Source organism: Homo sapiens, chromosome 8 (genome assembly GCF_000001405.40).
Source record: "Homo sapiens chromosome 8, GRCh38.p14 Primary Assembly".
Taxonomy (NCBI): domain Eukaryota; kingdom Metazoa; phylum Chordata; class Mammalia; order Primates; family Hominidae; genus Homo; species Homo sapiens.
In genome coordinates this window covers 120,844,775-120,870,051 of record NC_000008.11, presented here as the reverse complement: position 1 = coordinate 120,870,051, position 25,277 = coordinate 120,844,775, and the positions used below count along the sequence as shown (strand labels likewise).

Below are 25,277 nucleotides of genomic sequence, written 5' to 3'. Positions count from 1 at the left end.
AAACATAAAAATATCAGTGATTCTGAATTTAGTAAGGATTAAGTAGAATTAAGTAGAACCCAAAAGAATGGAATATAAAAGAAAAAAATGGACAAATATGACTTCATTAAAATTTTAGCTTTTGCTCTTCAAAAGACACTTAATAAAAAGATAATCACAAATGACAGAAAATATTCACAATGCATGTAGCTAATAAAATATTTTCATCTAAAATATACAAGGAATCGCACAATACAATAATGGGGCAATGACCTAATATATATATATATATGCATATGTGTATATATATGCATGTGTATATACATTGCCTATATATGTATCCACACTAAAACCATGAGATACCGTTATGCATCCATTAGAATAGCTAGAATTAAAAAGATTGGCAATAGCAATTATCAACAAGTAATGGAACAACCAGAGCTTTCTTTCATTGCTAGTGAGAATACACACTTAAAAACAGTGGTAATTTCTATATAAGTTGTACATATACTTTAACCATATACCCTGAAATTCCATTCTTAGGTATTCATCCAAGTTATGGAAATATTAGTACACACTTGTACTCAAAAAACAGATTTATTCATAATAGCCTCAAATTTGAAAGAATTCAAATTTCCATCAACATCTGAATGGTTTAACAAAATGTGGTATGCACATACAATGAAATACAACTCAGCAATAAAAAGGAATAAACCACTATAAAAGCAATAACGTGAATAATATCAAGAACATTTTGCTAAGTGAAGGAAAAGACTGCATACCATGTGATTTCATTCATGGAAAATTATTTAAAAGTAAAATAAATAAATAAATAAATAAATAAATAAATAAATAAATAAAAATTAAAAAGCAGATCAATATTTTCCAAAAATCTGGAGTTGGGGAGAGGGTACTGACTTTGTTAAAGCTAACTAACTATGGCCTGAGAAGGACTCCGTATTTCTGTATTTGAGTCCTTGTAGAGAAACTGCAACCTAACTTAATAGGCAGACAAACTTGTAAACCTAATTTAGGAGTGTGTAACAATAGCTGAGTCTTGGCCAATCCCAGCAGCCATCCATCAACCACTCATACACCGCGGAGTGTTTGAATGGGGCAAACGCCAACCTGTAACCAATAAAGCTATTTCTGTACCTCACTTCCGATTTCTGTACCTCAGTTCCTTTTTTTTTTTCTTCTTCTTTTGTTTGTCTGTAAATCTTCCACCACGTGGCTGCGCTGGAGTCTCTCTGAATCTGCTGTGATTCTGGGGGCGGCCCGTTTCCCGAATAGTTCGCTGCTCAGCTGAACTCTGAGTTTAATTCCGCCGAAGTTTTTCTTTTAACAACTTAAAGAGACATAAGGAACTTCTTAGGATGATGAAAATATTCCATTTTATGATTACTATGGAGACGACACAATTGGTAATTTTATACAGTTGCATATCCATATACAATTATCAAAACACAACAAATTATTGCACTGAAAATGGGCGTATTTTGTTGTGTGTGAATTTTACTTTAACAATGCTGATTTTAAAATTACACTACAGACAAAAACGCCTACGGCCCTAATGCTGTAATTGTCAGTGGGAATTTCTTAAACTATAAGAATTTAATCTTTTGCTAATTAATTACATATAATCTAACACATGGTATAAAAATGAAACAGAATATTCAAAATACAGACTATTCTGAAGAGTTATGATAGCAATGCCAACTGTTGAGGACATAAAGCAGCTAAAACCTTTATACACACTGAAGAACTGTAAATTAGTACAAGTTCTTTGAAAAACTCCTTGCATTAACTTTTAATCCTAATCATATACATACCCTGTGACACAGCAGTTCCATGAGTGAGTATGTATCCAATAAAAATAAGGTCTTGTGTCCATTAAATAAAATATATAAGAACTTCATAGGTGCCTTATTTAGAATACTTCCAACCGGAAACTAATAAGTGTCCAAAAACAAAAAAATGGAGAAATCAATTGTGGTATAGTCACAAAATATACTGTTCAACAATAAAAAACTAACTACTGCTACCCACAACAATACAGATGAACTTTGTAGACATCATGTTAAATAAACAACAACAACAAAAAGCCAGACCCTAAATTCCTTTCAAAGAATAGGTAAAATGAATCTAAGTTGATAGAAGTCAGAATGGTGTTATTTTTGGTGGGAGTATTGTCAAGGAAGGGACATGAGACAGCCTTGTGAAGTGCTGGAAATATTCTAAATCTTTCTGTTTTTTCTTTTTTTTCTTTTTGAGATAAGGTCTTGCTATGTCTCCCGGACTGGAGTGCAGTGGTGTGATCATAGCTTACTGCCACCTCCAATTCCTGGGCTCCAGTGATCCTCCCGCCTCAGCCTCCTTAGTAACTGGGACTACAGGCACAAGTCACTGCACCATGCAAATATTCTATCTTGATGTGGGTGGTAGTAACATGGCTGCATACACATTTTTTCTGTAAATCCATTGAATTGCACACTTAAAATTGGTGCACTTTATGTAAATTTCACCATAATTTTTAAATTTTTGAAAGTTTAAATCATGCTTTAAAAATGTATAGAAACATTTAAGTGTAAATAAAGATTAAAAGATCATGACATATAATAGCCTTAGAATATTGAATACTATTCTTGCTCTGTGGGTAAGAAGCTGGGGCAGGGAAAGGATGCTTTTAGAATATTCTCTTTATAAAAATCCTTGTGGAGTGTATGAGCGAATTCCCAGGATCAGCTAGAATAAGACTTCAAACCACACAAGAAAAAAACAAACTCTCCGTGTATTTAATTAAAATGTCGACACTTCTTCTTTACTCCTCCCTTCTGAGTTTCCCATAAGGGTTAACAGTGGACAGACGTGGCATGACTGGAAATCAGCAGGTAATACACTTTAAGCCCTGTCTGCTTCTGAATAGTGGTGTACACTTGGGGTGCTAGTTACCCTCCCTGTGATTTCAGATTCTCAGCCAATAAAAACATTATTAATAGTTATAATAAGAATAGCTCCTGTCCACTTAATACCTATTGTGGGCTGGACGCTATGCTGGCTACTTTCCATTCAGTATCTCCAACTTTATTTGGTAGGTCTGATTATGGAGAGGCAATATAAGAGTGTGTTCTCTGGAGTCAGACTTCCTGAGTTAAAAACCTGGCTCTGCTTCTTCCCAGCTATGTAAACTTGGGCCTCTGTTTCCTCATCTGTAAAATGGGAATAGAAAAATTGCTTTTCTCCCAGAATTGTTGCTAGAATTAAACAGAGATAGAAATAGAGATAGATATATAGATAGATATATAGATAGATATAGACACACACACATATGTTTGTGTGTCTGTGTCTGTATGTGTGTGTGTGTGTATCATTGAGAATTTCCTGGCATGTAATAAGGGCAATAAAATATTTTCTAGGTAAAATGACAAAAATAATTTTAAAGGTGAGAAAATGCAAGCCCACGGAGGCAGTAGCATATCAAGGATGAGGCAATGACAGTGGTACACTCAAGCACAGACAAGGGGTGGGGGTGCATTGTCTGTTGGGAATTTTTAAAATAATAACAGCGAGACTTTTTATTATCATCATGCTCCAGCAACTCAAAACAATGTCAGAGATTAAGAAAAAAAACCCTCCTGGGACCAATTGCTTTCAGGTCCTATCCACTTTTGACAACCCCGAATCAAGGTTAAAACATTTGCCTAAGGCCACACAACTGCAGGTGATAGAGCTGAGATTTAAACCTACAGCCATCAAATGTGAAAGTCTATACTGACTAAACCTCCTTTAAGAACCATTTTAGCTCCCAAAACACATATAATTTCTATCTGCTGTATACAGTATCCATGTCTTCTTCCTTGAAACGTTTTTAATCCAAGAAATAAATAATAGTACCTACCATGTCCTAGATTCTGTTCCAGCTACAGAGGCTACAGGTGTGCACAAGAAAACGTAATTGCTGTTTCAGAGCTTGCATTCTAGTAGAGTAAGACAAAGTAAATAACGCAAATACAAACACATTATTTTCAGATGACTAATCCCTTAGCTACATATGGCTACTGAATACTTAAAATGTGGCTAGTTCAAACTGAAAAGTGATATAAGTGTAAAACACATGGATTTAAAAAATTTAATAGGAAAAACAGAGTGTAAAAGACCTCATAATTTTTTTTTTTTTTTTTTTGAGATGGTGTCTCGCTGTCTCCCAGGCTGGAGTGCAGTGGTGCGATCTCAGCCCACTGCAACCTCCGCCTCCCGGGTTCATGCCATTCTCCTGCCTCAGCCTCCCAAGTAGCGAGGACTACAGACGCCCGCCACGACGCCGGCTAATTTTTTTTTTTTTTTTTTTTGTATTTTTAGTAGAGACGGGGTTTCACCATGTTAGCCAGGATGGTCTCGATCTCCTGACCTCGTGATCCACCCGCCTCAGCCTCCCAAAGTGCTGGGATTACAGGCGTGAGCCACCGCTCCCGGCCAAATATTTTTATATATTTATTACATGTTGGTAAAGAAAACAGTGATAATATATAAAACAGCATATTTACCATTTCCACTGTTCTTTATTCTCTTAATTTCAAGTTTTCAGCTGGTATTGTTTTCCTTCCAGATGAAAAACTTCTTTTAATATCTTTTATAGTGCAAGTCTGCTGTCAATGAATTCTCTTAGCTTTTGCTCATTTGAAAAAGTCTATTTTGCCTTTGTTTTTAAAGCTATTTCCACTGAATAGAGAATTCTAGGTTGGGCCAGGCACAGTGGCTCACACCTGTAATTCCAGCACTTTGGGAGGCCGCGGTGGGCTGATCACGAGGTCAGGAGATAGAGACCAGCCTGACCAACATGGTGAAACATTGTATCTACTAAAAATACAAAAATTAGCTGGGCGTGGTGACGCGCACCTGTAATCCCAGCTACTCAAGAGGCTGAGGCAGGAGAATCCCTTGAACCTGGGAGGTGGAGGTTGCGATGAGCCGAGATCACGCCACTGCACTCCAGCCTGGGTGACAGAGCGAGACTCCACCTCAAAATAATAATAATAATCATCATCATCATCATCACCATCATAAATAAAAAAAGAATTTTAGGCTGATAGCTTTTTTATTTTTTCTTTCAGGGCTTTAAAGACGCCATTCTATTGTCTTCTGGCCTACAATGTGTCAGACTAGAAGTCTGCCTATTATTATGATTTACTCTGTATACAGTGTCTGGCTGCTTTCAAGATTTATTTTTTATCATAGGCTTCCAACAATTTTATTATAATATGCCTTGATATGGTTTTCATTGTGTTTATCCTGCTTAAGGTTCTGTTGAGCATCTTGGATATATAGATTTACCATTTTCAACAAATTTGCAAAAATTTTTGCCAGTATTTCTTCAAATAATTTTATGTGTGAACTTATCTTTCCCCTTTTATTAAGCTTAAATCACACATACGTTGACATTCAATGTTGTCCCCTGAGTCACTAAGGCTCTGTTTATTTTGTTCAATTTTTTCTCCCTCTGTGCTTCAGTTTGCATGGTTTCTATTGCTATGCTTTCAAATTCAGTAATTTTTTTTCTTGCATTCTTGGTGTTAATCAGTTGTTAATCTCCTCCAGTGAAATTTTCCATTCATGTATTATCCCATTTCTAGAAGTTCCAGTTTTAATCCTTCATCCCACTCCTTGTTAGGCTATGTTTCCCTTTAAATTTTAAAGGTATTTGTAAAGCTCTTTTAAGGTTCTTTTCTGTCAATTCCATTGCCTTTGCCAGTTTTTAAAATCTGTTTCTGGTGACTGATGCTTTTTGTAATAGAATAGACTTTAATTTACATTTTAATTAAATATATTTGTATAATATATAATATAATATTTGTTATTTTATTATAATATAAATTGTGATGCTTCTGTAATCAATTGAGTTGTTCTACTTCTTCAAATGCTTACTATTCTTAATTAGATTCTGGACATTGTACATGTTACACTGCTAAGAATACGTTTGCACAACCTCAGATATCACCATTGCCTGCATTACCCTGGCTAACAAGGAAGTCTTGAGTCTGTCCACATATCCAGTGCATTACTACTACAATCCTATTTATCACCAAGAAATCTCAGAGTCTGCGGCACTACCCTCTAACCTGCATCAGAACTGACGCTGGTACCCACTACTAAGAGCCTAGAGGGAACATCACATCCCTGGATTCCCTACACACACACACACACACACACACACACACACACACACATCAAATGTTCCTTTTTTTTTATTCTAGCAAACTTTTAAGTTACTTGTTGATCAGCTTGAGCTTTTCAAACTTTTCCTATAAGCTTTGTTACAGCAGGTTTCAAGTGTCCTTTACTGTAGAACTAGATTTTCACTCTTGAAAGGCATGACCCTCTAGTGTTTCCCCCTGAATACCTCAAAGCTTTAACAAGGGCTCCTTACTATGGTTGACCAGAACACAAACATCTCCTAGCCCTGCGTGTACTCTAGAAACTCTTCAACTTACGATTTCTTGTTTGTTCTTTACCCAGTCTCATGTAGTCTCACCCTTCACAACTGTGGTTTAGTATTCAAGGGGGTCTTCATACAGATTTTGGAGCTCTTTCTCTGGGCAGCTCCTCAATCTCTGGTTTTACTCGTTAAATTCCAGATGTCTCACTCTTTCTAAATTCCAATTGCTCTCCTTCTACGTGCTATCTGGAAAGTGCTTCTGGACAGAAAGTCAGATGAACATAATGTTCACTGATTTGGTTCAGCTGGGTCCCCACTCAAATACCATCTTGAATTGTTGTTCCCATAATCCCCACGTGTCATGAGAGAAACCGGTGGGAGGTAATTGAATCATGGTGGCGGTTTCCCTCGTACTATTCTCGGGATAGTGAGTAAGTTCTCACAAAATCTGATGGTTTTACAAGGGGCTTCCCCCTTCACTCAGTTATCATTATGCTCCTTCCTACCACCATGTAAAGAAGGATGTGTTTGCTTCCCCTTCTGCTATGATTGTAAGTTTCCTGAGGCCTCCCCAGCTCTGCAGAACTGTGAGTCAATTAAACCTCTTTTCTTTATAAATTACCCAATCTTGGGTATTTCTTCATAGAAGTGTGAGAAGGAACTAATGCATTCACCTTGCTTATTTCCCTTCTCTCATAAATTACAGCCCTGCACTGCCTGTTGTCTACTGTCCAGAAATAGTTGCCTTGTGTATTTCATCCAGTTATCCAGTTGTTTACTATGAGAGGATTAAGTCCCATCACGGTTACCCCATTATAGTCAGAAGCTGAGGTAAGCATGTATGAAATTTGGCAACTTATACAAATAAAAATGTTTTCTTCTTAAAAAGTAAATGGGTTTTTCTTTTTTTCAAGGTGATAGATTGGAGGCATTTTTAGCATGCCTCTCCCACTTGGAAAGACAAAATAGTGTGTCGAGATTCTCACTCTGAAATTTTTTCCAAGAAGCAACACGGGAACTTAATAGAAAAACCGAAAGGAGCTACAGACTCTTGGAAAGAAGCAGGAGGAAGTAGCCTCCACCACGAACCAGGTAAAAAACTGGGGGTTTGCATAGTGTGAGAAGGGGAGAGACTGCCTCTGTGACACACTCCCACTGGGGAGCCAGGCAGTCCAGGCCCTGGAGAAAAGTTGTGACTCTACCCAGTGCTGGAGCTGATTTAATGAGTGGTGGGGAGTATGTAAGAAGGAGCAGCATGAAGATATGCTTTGTGTGCAGTCCCAGACTCCAGCGGGGTGGAGGGAAGCCATTCCTGATCCTGTCTCAGGGGACCTTACAGAAGTCTGCCAGCTAACTCAGGCAGTGGTCACAGGTTGACAGAAGCTCCGAATTGATATTTGTGATATAATCTCAAGGGGGATGAAACCTGATGCCCAGAACCAAGGGGAGAGCAGGAAGTGTGCTAAGAAATGGGCACAGGAGCTGGGTGCCTGCTTTGTGGATGGACTGGAAGGGGTATAACCTGAAAGCCACTGTTTCTGTCTCAGTTGGGTAGGCCTAGAGCCTGGGGCAGTTTTGAGTTCTGAGTACAGGCTGCCTGGAACCCAAGTGTGAGACCTGTATTGCCAGATAAGTAGGAGCTGAGTAGCTGAGTGGGGCTTATTGCCACCTGCTATCCCCTGCTTCCTGCGTGGATCTTTTTGTGCAGCAGAGGCAGCTGTGCTCCTCCCAGCAGCCAGGGAACAGCTGTCTGATCTTCAGTGGGGCCACTGCTTGTGTCCACACTTGGGAAGCCAGAGTACAAACTTGCCTGACCTAGGCCCTACCAGGCTCTGCCCTTCCACCTACCCTGGTAGTGTAACACAATGGAGAGGAATATTTGGAAGCTCCATGGCCTTACCCATCACCTGAGATACCAGAGTACCTGCAGTGGGTAACATAAGGCGAGCACAAATTCCACTGCTACCACTGCAGCTGGTGCTCTTTGGCAAGCACCACCTCCTGGCTGGAGGCCAGCTGGCACAGCCCATTGCAACATCTGCAGGCACAATAACACAGCACTCAGGAAGGAGAATACTTTTATGTAACCTCAGCGATCACAATTGCTTGCATCATCCAGGCTAACCAGGAGGCCTTGAGTCTATCCACGTATTTAGTATATTACTATGACAAGCCTATTTATATCCAGGAAATCCCAGAGTCTATGGCACTACCCTCTGACCCCCATCAGGAATGATGCTGTTACCCACTACTAGGAACATCACATCACTGGATCCCCTGCAGACATTCCCCAGCACCAGACTGGAGTACAGCAGCCCCACTGGGTGGCTAGACCCAGAGGAGCAGCAGGATTCACAGTAGTCTTGCCCCCGCAGGGACTGCTACTCCTAGGGTAGAGGGAATGCGCCATGGACATCTGATGGGATGTCTCATGGGACATCTCAAGGGAGCATCCCATGAGACAAAAGAAATCAGGCTGCAAGCCCTGAGTCCCCGAGCTTTCCACTTGTGGGCAGTTTCTTTCAGCAGAGGCATAGGCACACTGCTAGGCTCACTGGGGAAAGTCTAGTCTCAGATCTACCCCGACAGTCAGGCAGCCCTCCCACTCATGAAGGGTCTTGGAGAAGGGAACAAATGGAGGATATGAATGAAAAAAAAATTAAACGAGATAAAGAGATATTTTAAAGAAAAATCAATCAGTATTTCTGGAAATGAAAGACATATTTAGGGAATTAAAATATGCAGTGTAAAAGTTTAACAATAGACTAGACCAAGTAGAAGAACGAACTTCAGACTTCAAAGACAAGGCTTTCAAATTAACCCAATCAGAAAAAAGTAAAGAAAAATTACAATCCTAAATATATATGTACCTAACTCCAGAGCTCTCAGATTCATAAAGCAGTTAGTACTAGACCTAAGAAAAGAGATATACAGTAACACAACAATAGTGGGAAACTTCAGCACTCCACTGATTGAACTAGACAGATCATCGAGGCAAAAAGTCAACAAAGAATCACTGGACTTAAAGTGCACCCTATATTTAGTTTCCCCTTTTTCCTTAGTAAGAGAACCAAGGTTTGGTTCAGGGTAGCTGGCTTTGTCTCAGCTTCCACTGTGGCTAAGGGTAGCTACATCACATAGTGTGGCTGACGAGATGTAACTGGATATCACTAGGAGGGATTCAGGGAAAGTTCCATAAAAAAAAGACACACTTAACTAAAATAAGTGCTGTGCCCTTCACCTCTGTCCCTTATTCTATGTAGATTGTGAACTTGACACTGGAAAAGGGGCTTTCATTTTGCAATCACCAAACATTTTTGAAAATAAAAACCCCATGCCAATGGAGTCTCCATGGAAACACAGAAGAAACCTGGGTTACTGGGAGTGTTGTTCAGCTACAAAATGAAGTCCGAACTGCCCCTCTCAGCACTTCTATTTATAGGAAAGAGAAACAGATCCCTGAATTATTAAGGAACCATTTTTTCAAGTTCTCATGACATGGAGCAGAACACAATCCCTAATGAATCATTGATACAACCATATCTTTTTTAAAAACATAAAAATAAAAAATTGAAAATGTGGCTATACATGAAGAAATTATGAGAGTGTCAAGTAAAGAGTTTAGATGCTCAAATGTAGGCACTAGGAATTGTCCAAAGAAGCACGTAGGATACCCTCCAAGGTGGAAACATAGAGCAAAAAGTAGAGATATGAGGAAATCATGAATCAGAATGAAGAGTGGTGAAGAGATGGACCAGGTGCTAGGTATTAAATAGTTGAAAACACAGAGCTTCAGCCATCAATGCCTAGACTGAATTAACATCAGCGGCCGCATCCAAGGGCAGATGGAGGCTTCCCATCCAAGCTAAACATCGTAAAACAGCATGAACTCTGCTGATAGTACACTCCACTGTGTAGAGCGCACCCAACTTCCCTTCATAGTGACATAACATTTAGTTTTAAACCAAACTTTCTGTGCAGCTGGTATGAAGTGGAAAGGCTGGGTCTGAAGTTGCCAGTGAAGCTTCTAGAGAGGAGGTGGGGTCCAAAGCTAACAGTACTCAGGGCTCACTTAGCCTTCCTTTTGCGGCTCATGCTTTCATGTATTCATTTGCTCATTTTTTTCAACAAACTTTTTGAAGTTGAGTATCTAATATGTATAGGTATTGCTAGCAAAAAATGGAAATCGCTAAGTACTAGCAAAGTATAATATTCAAAAAGACAAAAACATGACTCACATACAATATATAATGATTAATTTATATTAACTTCAGAAGGAATCAGTGAAATCATAAAATATTATCAAAGAGCATTTAAGCAACAGAGAATTTATAAGGATTAAAGAAAGAATATTCAAGTAAAATTTCTGGAAAGAAAGAAGGGAATAAAGAAAGAATATTCAAATAAAATATTCTATATAAAACTAGTAAGCTGTCCTCTGCAGTTACATTTTCTACTAGATAGAAATTATTTGCATCTCTACTGGACAAAAACCTACAAGTTAAAATGTGGCATTACAAAGTCAGGGCTCTGATTTGCTATCTAATAAATAGGATAGCAAACACAGACATATTTGCCTCAATTATTAAGTAGTCTTTGGGTAAGTCTGTTATACAGTGCTTCAGAATGACACTGAAAGGACACACAACTGTCTTTGCCTTGTTTCTAAGTATTGAATAATTTGGGGAATAAGAAGCAGATTCTGTGGGTTGTTCTTTTGCAACTACACTTCCCCAACTCCAGGAAAAGAAATAAAGAACTTAAGAGAATCAAGTCCTCAATGTAAACATATACCTGGAACTGCAATATGATACTTCATTTGATTCTTACCCAACCAAACAAGGTGGTTATTATTAAACACATCTAAAATATTTTTAAAATTGAGGCTAATAGCTTTGAGATCACGCACAAAGAGAGGGAGCTAATCTCAAATTTGTAAATGTCTGTTTCCAGCCTTCGAGCTCTTTCCACTTAGGCCATGTGGCCTGTCGTGAAATTTATAGATGTATTGAGCCATCCACTGATTGGTTAATTCAACAATACTTAATGAGTACCACCTACATACCCAGCAATCTTATAGGCCCTGGCATTGCAGGAATGAAAAAGCTTTTCCTTCATGTAGCTCACATCCTAAGGGGCTCCAGACCTTCATTTTGGACAGCCATCATTGCAAGCATTTCCCCCAGCTATATATATATATATATATATGTATATATATATATATATATATATATATATATATATGTATATATATATATGTGTGTGTGTATCTACATATATTTATATATAAATATAAATATATGTAAATATGTAATATATATTTATATATTATATATATATTTATATATTACATATTTATATATTTATATATAAACATTATTTATATATAAATATAATTTATTTATATATTTATATATAAATATATATATATTTAATACTAATTTGAAGTGGTTCTATTAAAAAAAGTGTGGTCCTCTTTCTGTTATCTCAGCCCACAGATGCCTGCTCCTTCTATCTAGTGGCCTCTGCCATTTCTTGCTCCCTTCCAAAGCCATTTCATTCCCTGAGTTCAGAGCTGCAGAGCTTTTCTTGTAAGTCAGACAGACATCTCACATACTCTATTCAAAGGTTTCACATGCCTACATGACAAGCAGCTGCTGTTGGGAAACCTGAGCCAGGAGCCCTTTCAAGCAGACTGCTCCATGAATGACCCTCCCCTGTGACTGCTGGTACAGGCTGGGCCTGGGATGGACAGTCAGCCCAGGATGAGGGTGGCTTTCACTTAGGACACATGACTCAGGAAGCTGCTCCTTACTACAACATGTTGCAGCTTCATCCTGTATGAGCATAATTCAGTCTGGCCCTTTTAGTGGTCATATACAATGGAGTGTGTCACTGGCAAAACAGAATTCAAAGCCCCCCTCCTCCTCTACCAGAGGTCCATGCGTGAGAGGGCTCCCTTAGGCATTCAGCAAGAATGCAAAACAGCAAGAGCACAGTTCATTGCAGCCCATGCAGACCATTTCCTTACTTGCTTGGAAATTGTGGTAAAACTCATTTCCTGCCTTTGAGCTGCAGTTATGTTTGATTGTGTAATGATTAAACAGCAGGCCATGAAATCCTAACCTTCTAGAGCTCTAAGGACTATATATCATTGTATGCCCCACTCCTCCGCTTTCAGACAAGGCTACACTACACCTGGGTCATTACATTCATATTGGAGAAATCCAGCTGTAGCCCAAAGGAAGAGAAGGCAGAGGCTCTCACTATTTTCCTCAATCAACCATTGCAAGGTTTAAGAATAATCTGCTGCCAAACACATGTTCCCTGGTGTGTCAATGAAATCCCTCAAACCACAGCTTAATGGTCCCTCCTTCTCTTGTTCTGTATTTGTAGAGATGTTGTGAGACAGGTCAGTATCCACTAAATTACAGTATAACACATTGCAAACACAGTCTTCCCTTCTCTAAATAATTCCAACTCTCAAATGTCTGGGACTATGTGGCTGTGGTGAGCGAGCCGTAAAGTTGAACTAGAATCCACGCATTCATCTCAGTGGACTCCCTGAGGGCCAGAAATAGGAGACTCTAACTACCCTGTGTAAAAAGTAATGTTTACTTCCTCTAGAAGGATACCCAGGTCAGGCCTACTCTTTTCGTTCCTAGACCAAAGGTGACAAATTGAGGCCCATTTATCATATTTTAAATAGTTTACCATGTATTTTAAAGGAATAAACCAAGCTAACACACTGCTCATTGAAATATGTTCTGTTGTCCTTCCTTGAAAAGTATACCTTCATAATGACAAAATTTGGAAAATATTTCTAATATCATTTATTTTAAAGGACTGGAAGCCAGCATAATATCAATGAAAACATGAAAACTGAAATTTAATTCAAGTTGGGGTGTTCTATTGGAAAGATGTCAATGTTAGGATGAGTTCTAAAGACATAAAAATTTTTAACTATTATATATTCCATCCACATAAATATTTTCTTTCATTTATTTCAGTGCATAACTATGTTGTTAAAGAGCCTCTCATAATTTGTGTGCTACCGAGAGTAAAGCCAAATTACATACACTTCTCTTGAGTCATTGTAGTTCTTAGTTTTTAAAAATTAATTTCAATTAGGAGAAATTCTGAGGCAATAAGCAATTGGAATTGTCAACAAACTCTTTAAACAATATTTAGATTCAGAAATTAATTATTATTTTACATATCATGTTAAAACATTTTAATGAGGTCACAAACTGTAACCACAGAAATGTCATTACAAATCTTAATTTATCACATAAATAAGGCACAATTGCATTTTAATTTTATCACCTCTTTAGAAAATATTCAAATTCTATAGTATTTCTTAAGATAAATGTGTTTCATTTTTCTCTTCTAGTGTCCTGTAGGAACTTAATTTAGTTGATGGCATTTAGTCAGTATTCTCAGTGGGTATCTGAGAGTGGTTATTATGTCAGACTTGACATGTTTCATTAAGACATCTCTCCTTTTCCTAAATCCAGAAAAAAAAATACGATCTCTGAATTGATCCCAATGTCATTTCTATAGGCATAGTTGAGAAAATGAATTGAAAATATGTATCCTTCAGAGTACAGAAAATGTTTTTGTATTTCAGCCAACATTCTACTGTGACAATCTTTTTAAACTACCAAGTTTGTGCCATTATCCTAGGCCTGCTGTCAGTGGTCTCTTAATCCCTTCAATAAAGTTGAATATTTTTTATTTAGTTTTTTGAGAATTTGTTAAATTATATTGAATATTTTTGTGAAAATAAAATTATTTACAATTTCAGCTTTAGTACCAGTGTAATGGCTGATGTAAAGAATTGGTATCATGCTTCACACTTGTTACATCCAGATCAGTGTTGTCCAGTAAAATTTTCTTCAGTGATGGAAATGTTCTATATGTGAACTGTCTAATACAGTAGCTTCTCTCCACATGCGGCAGTTAAGCATTAGAAATGTGGTATGACTGAGGACCTAAATGTTTTATTTTGTTTAATTTTAGTTAATTTAAATTTAATTAGACACTTTTGACTAGTGGCTACTATATTGGACAGCAGAGATCTCAACTTACATTTGAATATATTTAAAAGTAATATGAATTTATCATATTGCAAAATATTTCTCTGAACTTATCCCAATGTTGCCAATATTGTAAGAATTTCTGAATTCTGCCTTGTCCCTACTTGGAAACCATGTTTCACTATGCAAAATCTATTGACTTCATGCTATCTATAAAGCTCATTAATTTATCTTATTCTTACATAAGAATTCTACCAGTCAATTTCTTTCCATATTCTAATATCCATCTCCAATATTATCCCACCCAGGACTGAGATATGGAGAAGTGTTTGGCTGGGGCCTGAACTGTTTTTGTGCTAGGTGAAACTTTCTGAAATGGAGTCCTATCACCACGGTCTCTCTTATCCAAATCTAGGGTAAGATATGTGGGGAAAAAAAAAAATCTTGAATTTAAAAAGGAAGTAAGGAGAAGAGGAAAGGAAGTAGGATACAGTGATTTATCCTGCCCTCCTCCTTACTGTCTGTACTCAGGATGCCCAAATGTGGGAATAAATGATAGTTGGCAGCTTCTGACTACAAATTTCTTACCATTAAAAGGTTCACTATTCTGAAGAGGAGGCAAGACCTTACAAAATCAATATGTTCAAAAACTTCGATAAGTAATAATTGAATGAATGAACAAGGCACATATCTATATGCCACTTACCCCTGACAATAGAAGAGGCTTTCAGTCAACTACTCTTTGGGGCCCAATAATTTGACACATTTAACTATAGTCCTTAGAGGACCTTGAAAAATGATATTACATCCCGAATATTTAATTTCATCTGTAAAAATTAAGAAGTTTGCATATTAAAAAAAAGAAGCTTTCTTCCTGATCTTTACTAGGATGTTTATATGTTCACTATCTAGATTTTTAACAGAATTATCGAACCTCCCTCGTGAAATGACGACAAAAATGGTACATCCAGGTATTCCTCATTACAGGAACACCATTTCAGGGACACTATATATTAGTTTGTTAGGGTTGCCGTAACAAAGGTCTGCAAAATGAGTGGCTTCAACAGTAGGAATTTATTGTCTTATACATTTGGAGTGTAGAAGCCCAAGGTCAAGTATTGTCGAGGCCATGCTCTTTGTGCAGGATCTAGGAAATGATTTTCTGCAGTCCTGTTTTCTAGTGTCTGGTAGTTCCTTGCCTTATGGCAGCATAAATCCAACCTTACAAAGCTTTCTTCTTGTGTGTGTGTTTGTGTCCAAATTTCCCCCTTTTTATGAGGACACTAGTCATATTTGATTAGGGGCTCACCTTATCCCAGCAGGACCCCATCTTAACTAACTACATCTGCAGAGACCCTGTTTCCAAATGACTCTTTCAGATAAGGTCATATTCTGAGGTGCTGGGGATTTAAGACTTCAATATATATACTTGGGGGTGGGGGACATAATTCAACCCATCATACATATATTCCAGATTCCTTCATTTTAAAATATACTGCTACATCGCATTCACATCATACTAGTATCCTTTTCTATATTCTTTATATATTTTCCTGGTAGATTATGTATCATTTCCATTTTATAGATGTGAGGTAAGAAGAGCAGAGAGAACATAAGTGATATTCCTAAATTCACAACTGTGTTTGTATAGGCTCATAGGTGGAAAGTTAATACTGAGTGTCAACTTGATTGGATTGAAGAATGCAAAGTATTGTTCCTGGGAATGTCTGTGAGGGTGTTACCAACGGAGATGAACATTTGAGTCAGTGGACTGGGAAAGGCAGACCCACCCTCAATCTGGATGGGCACAATCTAATCAGCTGCCAGTGCAGCCAGAATAAAAACAGGCCGAAGAATGTGGGAAGACTAGACTGGTTTAGTCTTCTGGCCTACATCTTTCTCCTGTGCTAGATGCTTCCTGCTCTTGAACATCGGACTCAAAGTTCTTCAGCTTTGAGACTCGGACTGGCTTCCTTGCTCCTCAGCTTGCAGATGGTTTATTGTGGGACCTCACATTGTGATTGTGTGAGTCAATACACCTTAATAAACTCCCCTTATATACACATCTTTCCTATTAGTTCAGTCCTGCTAGAGAACCCTGACTAATACACCTTGTCTCAAATGAGACTTTGGACTTGGACTTTTGGGTTAATGCTGGAATGAGTTAAGACTTTGAGGGACTGTTGGGAAGGTACGGTTGTGTTTTGAAATATGAGGACAGGAGATATGTAATGTATTAGTTCATTCTCATGCTGCTAATAAAGACATATCCAAGACTGGGTAATTTATCAAGGAAAGAGGTTTCATTGACTCACAGTTCAGCATGGCTGTGGAAGCCTCAGGAAACCTCCGATCATGGCAGAAGGGGAAGCAAACATGTCCTTTTTCACATGGCAGCAGGAAGGAGAAGAATGAGGACCAAGCAAAGTGGGGAGCCCCTTATAAAACCATCAGCTCTCATGAGAACTCATTCACTATCATGAGAATAGCATGGGGGAAACTGCCTCCATGATTTAATTACCTCACACTGGGTCCCTCCCACAACACATGGGGATTATGGGAACTACAATTCAAGATATGATTTGGGTGGGGACACAGCCAAACCATATCAGTTACCAATGCTAGTTTCAAAGTATCCTACTGTCAAGGACACTGATTTTATTCCAAGACTATATTTTATTGCTTCTTCTGCATACATGATTTATTTTTCTAAAGATGTCTTTATTACCATTACTCTAATTCCCATGTAAACTGAATATTTAAAAGCTACTCAGTCTTGCCTGCTTTCTCTGCCTATAAAAATTCCAACTTGATCCTTTGTCATTGTATTTGGTCTGAAGAACAAGATAAACCCTTAACAGAAATTGACCCTGGGTTCCGAGTCTTCTTGGAGACAAATTGAAAGGCTGTTGACCCTGGACTTCAAGCTCTGAATTCCTCAGAGTCACAGGATTATCCCAGGCATCTAGCTGATGAAATCTCTGCACTTCCACAGGGGCAAACCAGAGAGTTGGTAGGTAAAACCAAAAATCACAGGCTCCACTTGGCCATGTACTAGCTGTAAGTAATATCTCAGATTTAATAACATAATCTCATAATATAATGGGACTCATCAAAATGCATATAAAACATTTTATAAATTGTAAAGCAGTATACAAATACTAGTTCTTCGTGTAACGGGAAGTATATTTCACCACTCTCCCACTGGGCACTTTAGCTACCACTTCTAGCCCTGTCACTGCCTCCAACCATTTAGGCGTTCTGCGCACTCTCCTCTATTCCTCCATATCCTTCTCATGGAAACTGTGTTGTCCACATAGAGTGGGTAAGAGGAAGACTGACTAAATGTGAGGCACACTTAGGTCACATTCTACTGGATGACCAGTATGAGTAGAGAAGGCTGAGGATGGGAGAACCTGTCCAGAGTAGATGGTCTGGGAACAGTGACTGGTCCCCATCCTGCTTCCTGATGCAAACTCTAGATGTTCCTTGCTCAGGCCTGCATTGTTACTTTAATTTATCCATGCCACTCCTCCCTCGTCTTTCTTCTATACTATGGAATCTTCATCTATTCTCAAGCAGGGAAGGCCTGGAGAAGTTACACTGGACCAAATAATCTTCCAGTTATTTCCAAGTTTTCAAAGCTAAAGAGTCAAGAGTTTGAGTGCGCTCTTCTCTGACCCTCTGTGTTGACATTCCTCGAGTTAATGGATAATGCACATTTAGATGCCTGGTAACAGGAAGGGCTTCAGACCTCAGGTTCAAGGGAAATGGACTGAGGGAAACATATATGTTGACACTTCAAAGTATTATAACTACTTGAAGTTCTGGTCGATACTTAATTCATAGTGGAGAAACTTTTGCTACATTATAAGGCAAAAATCACAAGGTGAAACTCACTCTGTGTAGGTCATTTAATGTAAAATTAGTCACAGAGGCTCCAGTGGGGAGCAGAAACCTGGTACCATCTTGCCCTGCTAGTATCAGCTGTGTAATCTGGGGCTGATCCCTGAACACCAGTAGGTGGCTGAATAATAGCCCCCTAAGATATCAGGTCCTAATCTCTTGAATCCATAAGTGTTACCTTATATGAAAAAAGGATTTTTGTAGGTATGATTATATTGAAGTTCTCGAGATGAGGAGTTTATCTTGGATTATCTAGGAGGACCCTAAATGCAATCACAAGTGTCTTAGTCCATTTGTGAGGAGACTGGGTAATTTATAAAGAACAGAATTTTATTTCTCATATTTATAGAGGATTGAAAGTCCTTGATAAAAGTGTTGGCAGGTTTGATGTCTGATGAGGGCTGCTCTCTGCCTTCAAGATAGTGCCTGTTGCTGCAACCTCCAGAGGGGACAAATGCTGTATCCTCACATGGTAGAAGGAATGGACAGGTGTGTACCCACTCCCTAAAGCCCTTTTATAAGGGCCCTTACCCCATCCATGAAGGCTCTGCCCTCATGACTTAATCACCTGCTAAAGGTTCCACATCTTAATATATCACATGGGTTTGATTAAGTTTTAACATATGAATTTTAGGAGACACAAACCATAGCAACACATATCTTTATGAAACAGAGGCAGAGGGAGATTTCAGACACATGGAGAGAAGACAATGATGTGAAAATGGAGCAGAAAGTGACTCAAAGATGCTTACACTGCTGGCCATGAGATGAAGGAAGGGGCCATGAGACAATCAACAGTAGGAATGCTCACAGCCAGCAGAAGCTGGAAAAGGCAAGGACCCAAGTTGTCCCCTAGAGCATCCAGAGGGAGTGTAGCTGTGTAAATGCCTTGATTTTGGCCCAGTTCTGCTGATTTCATACTTCTGGCCTCCAGAACTGTGAGAGAATACATTTCTGTTGTTTTAAGTTTGTGGTAATTTGTTATAGCAGCCCTGGGAAACTAATACATACTTTTGAGTCCAAGTTTCCCATTTTCTGAATTGGAGGTGAAAGGGAGAACAGATCAGTAATTCTCAACTCTGTATACACAAGAGACTCAGTGGGAGAGCTTATGAAATATTCTGATAGGGGCCACTTCCAGAGACTCTGATTTAATACTCTGGGGTGAGGCCTGAGTATCAGTATTTATAAAAGTTCTCCAAGTGATTATAATGGTGCAGCCAGGCTTAGGAGTCACTAGACTAGCCTATATGGTCCTTCCCACATCTAACTTGCTTAGCGGTCTGAATATGAGATAAGAGATTACTAGAGAAGACAAGACAAAAGAAAAAACACCCAGGAGAAACCAAGAGAAGACTGAGTGGTATGTAAGAAAGCTAGAGGGCACCAGAGCAAATCTAGCTTTTCTCCTTGGTATTTGCTAGCCTTCCTCTCCTGGGGAGGGTGTAATCGTCTCCCCCAACAGTAAGGAAACATTTTAGATATACGTGACTTCCAGAAGAACTGCATCAAATGGTCAGCCAATTTACTTTTGTGCTCTGCCAGAATAGAAACGAAAGGACCAGCAGAAATTCAAAGAACTTTCTTTCTTAATAATTCATTAATCCATTCATGAAATTAGAGGGCTATTCAACAGTCGGTCATTCAACAAATATGTATGAGGAATATACTGTGTATCAGGCACCATTCTAGGTGCTTGAGATCTAATAGTAAACAAAATCCAGAAAGATTCTATTTTTCACAGGGTTCTAGGAAGAAACATTCTGTGATGAAAAATACATTGGGGGTGTGGAATAAGAAACGAGGTTGGGGGAAGGCGTGGTAGTGCCCATGCTTGGACAAGAAGGCCTCACTGAAGATAAATTGCAGCACAGCCCTGAAGTGGAGAAGGGCAAGAGCCATGGACATCTGGTTAGAGAGCTTCCCAAGCACAGGGAACAGCAGCACTGATGGCCAATATTTTCAGTAAATCTAGAGAATCAGCTATTCTCATAACTTGATTAAAGAATCTATGTATTTCCTTCTGCTTTGCTCTATTTCAAAATGCTTTGGAAATGGAAAATGGAGCTTGTTTAATTCCAAGTAGAATGGAGCATGGGGAATACTGCTTTGATGAGGAATTGGTTCTACCAATAAGACTCTTCTTTACCCTTTTTTTTTTAACCAATAAAGACAGGAAAGGGAACCTTTTCAAACAAATACCCCAAAACTAAAAGTTAAGCTATTGTGGGGCTTTGGTCTCCAAAGGGCAAATTCCTCAACAAGAAGCTCAAGGGAGGAACAGTGACCAGGGTGGCCGAAGACCTTGAGCTCCACACAGATTTCCTTGCTGTGATGTGATTTTCCTTTTACATTTTTGGACCAGTCCCCTTTCCAATTAGGGATCACAGCTGCTAAGAATAAAGTGGTGTCTGTTTAACTGGCAGAAGGCACAATGGCCCACTCAAGCCATCAGTGGGAGTCGTTGTTCGAGAAATATTGCCATTGAGATTTTCAAAATGCTAATGAAATTAATTTCTCTTTCAATGTTGATTGTCACCCAGCTCCTTTTAGAAAAATGAAGGAGGGGTTTTAATTTTAATTATAGTGGACCAAAAACATTTCTCATGAAAATACAGATTCAGAATTTTAAAATTGCCAGGAACTTTTGATATTATTTATTTAACCAACTCATGTGTAGAAGAGAATGCAGCCCAGGAGGCTGAGACACTTGGTAACAGCAACACTGCTGCTGAATGGCAGAGTTGGAACTAAGACCCAGTCTCTTCCATCTCCATCCTGCTTTCTTTCCACTATAGCAGGCTGTGCCATCAGAAATATTTGTTAGCAATATCTGTAATTCACCATCAAATTTTCTTTGCCATGAATGAGTGCCAAGTAAGTATCTTCCTCCAGCAAATTTTCTTACTGCTCAAACATGAAATCTAGGAAGATTTCTCATGGCCTTCTCCTCACTGAATCAACACTACCTTTTCCACTCAAGCAAGGGATGTCCTACACTGGACAGCCTAGGGGAAATCAAAGGAATGTATTCCTTTAGTTGGAGGCATGTTTCCTGGTGGAGCATGTTCTGTGGCTTATGTGGACTTTAGGTCTCAAGACTAAAGATTCATGAGTTCATCCTTTTCAGGTAACCTGATGAGCAGTTTGTTGCTGGTAAATCACTCCTTCCAGATAGCTGAGGGTGCTTCAGCCATCTGAATGAAGTGCCCTGAAGACTGCACACACAATAAGCCTCTTTTTAAAAGAAGATCCCAGTCCAGGCCTGGTGCCTCACACCCGTAATCCCAGCACTTTGGGAGGCTGAGGTGGGAGGATCTCTTGAGTCCAGGAGTTCAAGAACAGCCTGGGCAACTTAGCAAGACTCTGGCTCTATAAAAGAAAAAAAAATTAAAGAGAATTCCTCTAACAATCTGGAAAATAAAAGCATGATTCAGTCCCCACTTAGATTAAGCAAACTCTACTTTATCTAAATGCCCATAATTCTGCTGTGATTACCGGTAAACATGACCCTGGTTTAGACAGGAAGCTTTAGCACATAAAAAATTGCAATGAACTTGAAATGTAGATAATTTTTGTTTTTAAGGACTTCCATTCAGTCATTTATTCAACAAAAACATTAAGACCTACTAAAAGCCAAGCCCTATACTAGGCAATAAGGAATAATCTTCAGCTAAAATAGATTTCCAGTTTTGCCATGATTTACAGTGTGACTTTTGAAAAATTCATTTTCTATCTCTTTGCTTCAGTTTCCTCATCTTTAAAGTGAGAAATTTTAATACTTGCCTCGAGATCTTAACACACAAAATGTTAATACTTTACAAACTGTAAAAGTTTCAAATCAAAACAAAGATTTGTAAATACTGTATAATCAATCCTTTTGGAGGATGTTTATAAATAATAGTAAAGTGCCAGGCACTTGTACTAGTGTCTCAGCTCGCACTACTGTAATAAAATGCCTCAGACTGGGTGGCTTAAATAATAGACATTTATTTCTAATCTGGAGTCTGCAAAGCTCAACATCAAGGTGGCAACCAATTTGACTCCTGGTTAGGGATCTCCTCCTGGCTTATAAAAGGCCAGCTTCTTTCTGTGTCTTCATATGGTGAAGAAAGCGAGAGAGCAGGGGTCTCTCTTTGTCTTCGAATGAGGACATTAATCCTATCCCCACCCTCACCACCTCATCTAAACTTAATTACCTCTCAAGGACATCACTTCCAAATACTATCACACTGGGGTTTAGGGCTTCAACATATAAATTTGGGGGGCACACTAGGATCATTTATGCCTTCCTGAATCCTCCCAGGTAGGCAATATTATTTTCATAAAACCAGCAGTAACTGAGATGTACCAAGGGAAAGTGTTTGCCCAAATTCCTAACGCTAGGAGACAGAGGATCTGGGAATCAAGTCATGTCTGTTCACTGTTGACTCTGAAGGCTCTAGTGGGAAAGTCATACATATATGACTTCTACAAAACAGTCCTGACTACCACTGAGCAGGAGGGAATAAATGGCTATGAAACTCTTGGAGTAAACTAACCCAACTGGTTCATAAAATTTCATGCACTTACAATGATGTACATCCCCTGCCCCCAGCAATAGAAATTGTCTCCCAAGGCCAAATGCCTTATCTCTTGATATAAATTCCAGAACCATCAAAAGCAATAATGGAAATCATATCTCCAGGTCAATCAGTCTACAAATTTGACAGCTTTATCAAGACATGTTTGGTCTCTACTATCAAAAAGAATTTTTTGTCTAGGGCCAGGACATTTTAGCATGATAAACTCAGATAAATAAAGTTTACCTGAGGCTCCTACAAAGAATTTCAGGAATTGACCCTATTTTCAGGCCTAGACACTTGTATTTTTTTTCTATCAAAAGCAAAAAAATGAAAACAAAAGCCTGAAACACTAACAAAATTTCAAATTCAATAATTTCTTTAGAATATTAAACATCCAAGAAGAATATGAGGACCCAAAACTTTCTGGGGTTTTCTCCTTTTTTTTTAAGGTAAATCAGTGGTCCTACGTGCAAAAGCTGAAATCAACCTCTCAAGCACCTTTGACTTTTAAGTGAGTAGGACATTTTGTTCAGTACTTGCCTGACAAATTCGTGGCCATACTCTTGTTCCCAAGTAATAATCTAAATCCTAACCTGGGGCCACCTTGAAATGTTAGTTCCATTACGTCTTAGGTAGCAGAGAGAGGTTAAGGGAGACAAATCAACCCCTCAAATGTGATTTTCTGGCCACTGGCATTTTCCCGGAGCCTGAAACAAGGTCATCAAGTTAGGAACACACCAACTGAAAAGAGCAAAAAAGCAAACAAAGACTGAAGCAAAGGGCCAAGGCCACAGAGCAATAGTTGAACTCGGTTCCAAATAACTGTTCAGAACCAGTGTTAACGACACTCTTTCCCAATTCTGAGAGTGACTTTGATTTAATTCATTAGAATAATTCAATTATGCCATTTCTATTTTTCAGATTTTTTTTCTTTGCTTTGTGTAGTCCATCTGCCAAACTGCAGAGAGCCTCATTCAGGCTCACTGAACATATGCAGCTCACTTGGCCCCCACATATGCAGCATGTGTGTCATACTTATCATGTCACATAGTCCCAAGTTGGATTTATACATGTTCATTACTGTGTTGTGAAATGTGTAAAGACATTTATATTACTTCTTACTCATAGTGAACCCTGTATATGTTCTATCTTTTTCTGTTTAGCCTTAAAACAACCTTGCAAAGTAGCTGAAAAAGATACCATCACTCCCATTTTACAGATAAAAAACTATTAATAAGATTCAAGAGATTCAATGACTTGCATGATAAAGGCTAGTAGGTTCAGTGAGGTGTTACAGGAAGAAGATGGACTCTGTAGCTGAGTGGACCTTGTACTTACCACCTACTTTTCCTTCCTCTCTTTTTCCATTCCTCTATTCTCCACTTTTCCCCAGCAATCAATAACTACCAACTGTTTGAATTAAGCCAGGCAGACATTAGGTTCTGGCAAATCTGTGGTACTACTTCTTTTCCAATAATCCAAAAACAATAATCCCAAACGTGACCTGTGTCAAACTTGAAATTTTAGCTCCATTTCATCTTACCCAAAACCTGATCTTATCCTACATCTTAGCTACTACAGGTATTTTGCTGGCTATTGTGAATAAATGTGTATGCTGTTCAATAGTGCGGTACACATAATTTGTACCATAACTGTGACTGTCATAATCACTTAAGTATTCTTTGTCTCTAAGTAACCTTGAGAACAATGATTTAAGGAAACAATGTTTGGGGTAAATGAAAAGCTGAGCAGAGTTCCATGTATGAGAATGACTCCCGGGGAGCCTGTAAAAGGGAAGTGACAGCAGTTTCACCCCCTTGGTTCCAGCAAGCCACCATTTTTTTCAACTCCCTTACAATCCAACTACTGTTTTTTGTTGTTGTTGTCAGCAACAATGCTAAGTCTTAACTGATGTCTTTAATCACATGGCCCCAAGCAAGCTTCTGACCCCCATATTCTTCGTTCAGGAAGTGAAGAAACATACCCAGTTGCCTTAATGTAAAGGCTGAATAAGACTGTGTCTGAAAACAATCAGCATTTTTATGATTAATATCATTAGCAAAGGTCAGTGGGTGGGGAAGTGGGAGATGTAGAGAGATAGGAGAAGAAGAAGGAGAAGCAGTAGCATGGGAAACCTACAAAAATGTGTCTGTAAGTCAATTACTGATTTCCACATGTAGTTCCTCCTAGAGGAGAAAAAAATTAGTCTTTCTTAGGATATGCAGAAAGACATGCTAGTTCTGCCAGATATTAACAAGTGTTACTAGAAAAAAAAATGGGACCTATAATCCTAGCACTTTGGGAGGCCAAAGTGGGCAGTTGCTTGAGCCCAGGAGTTTGAAACAGCCTGAGCAA

The 25,277-nt window shown here is 38.6% G+C and overlaps 1 annotated feature.

Moving 5' to 3' along the window:
- Window positions 24,129-24,423: a silencer, noted in NCBI's record as "tiled region #2819; K562 Repressive non-DNase unmatched - State 24:Quies". NCBI's record gives its function as "represses a minimal TATA promoter and a strong SV40 promoter by Sharpr-MPRA in K562 cells {active_cell/tissue: K562}" and the evidence as "EXISTENCE:reporter gene assay evidence [ECO:0000049][PMID:27701403]".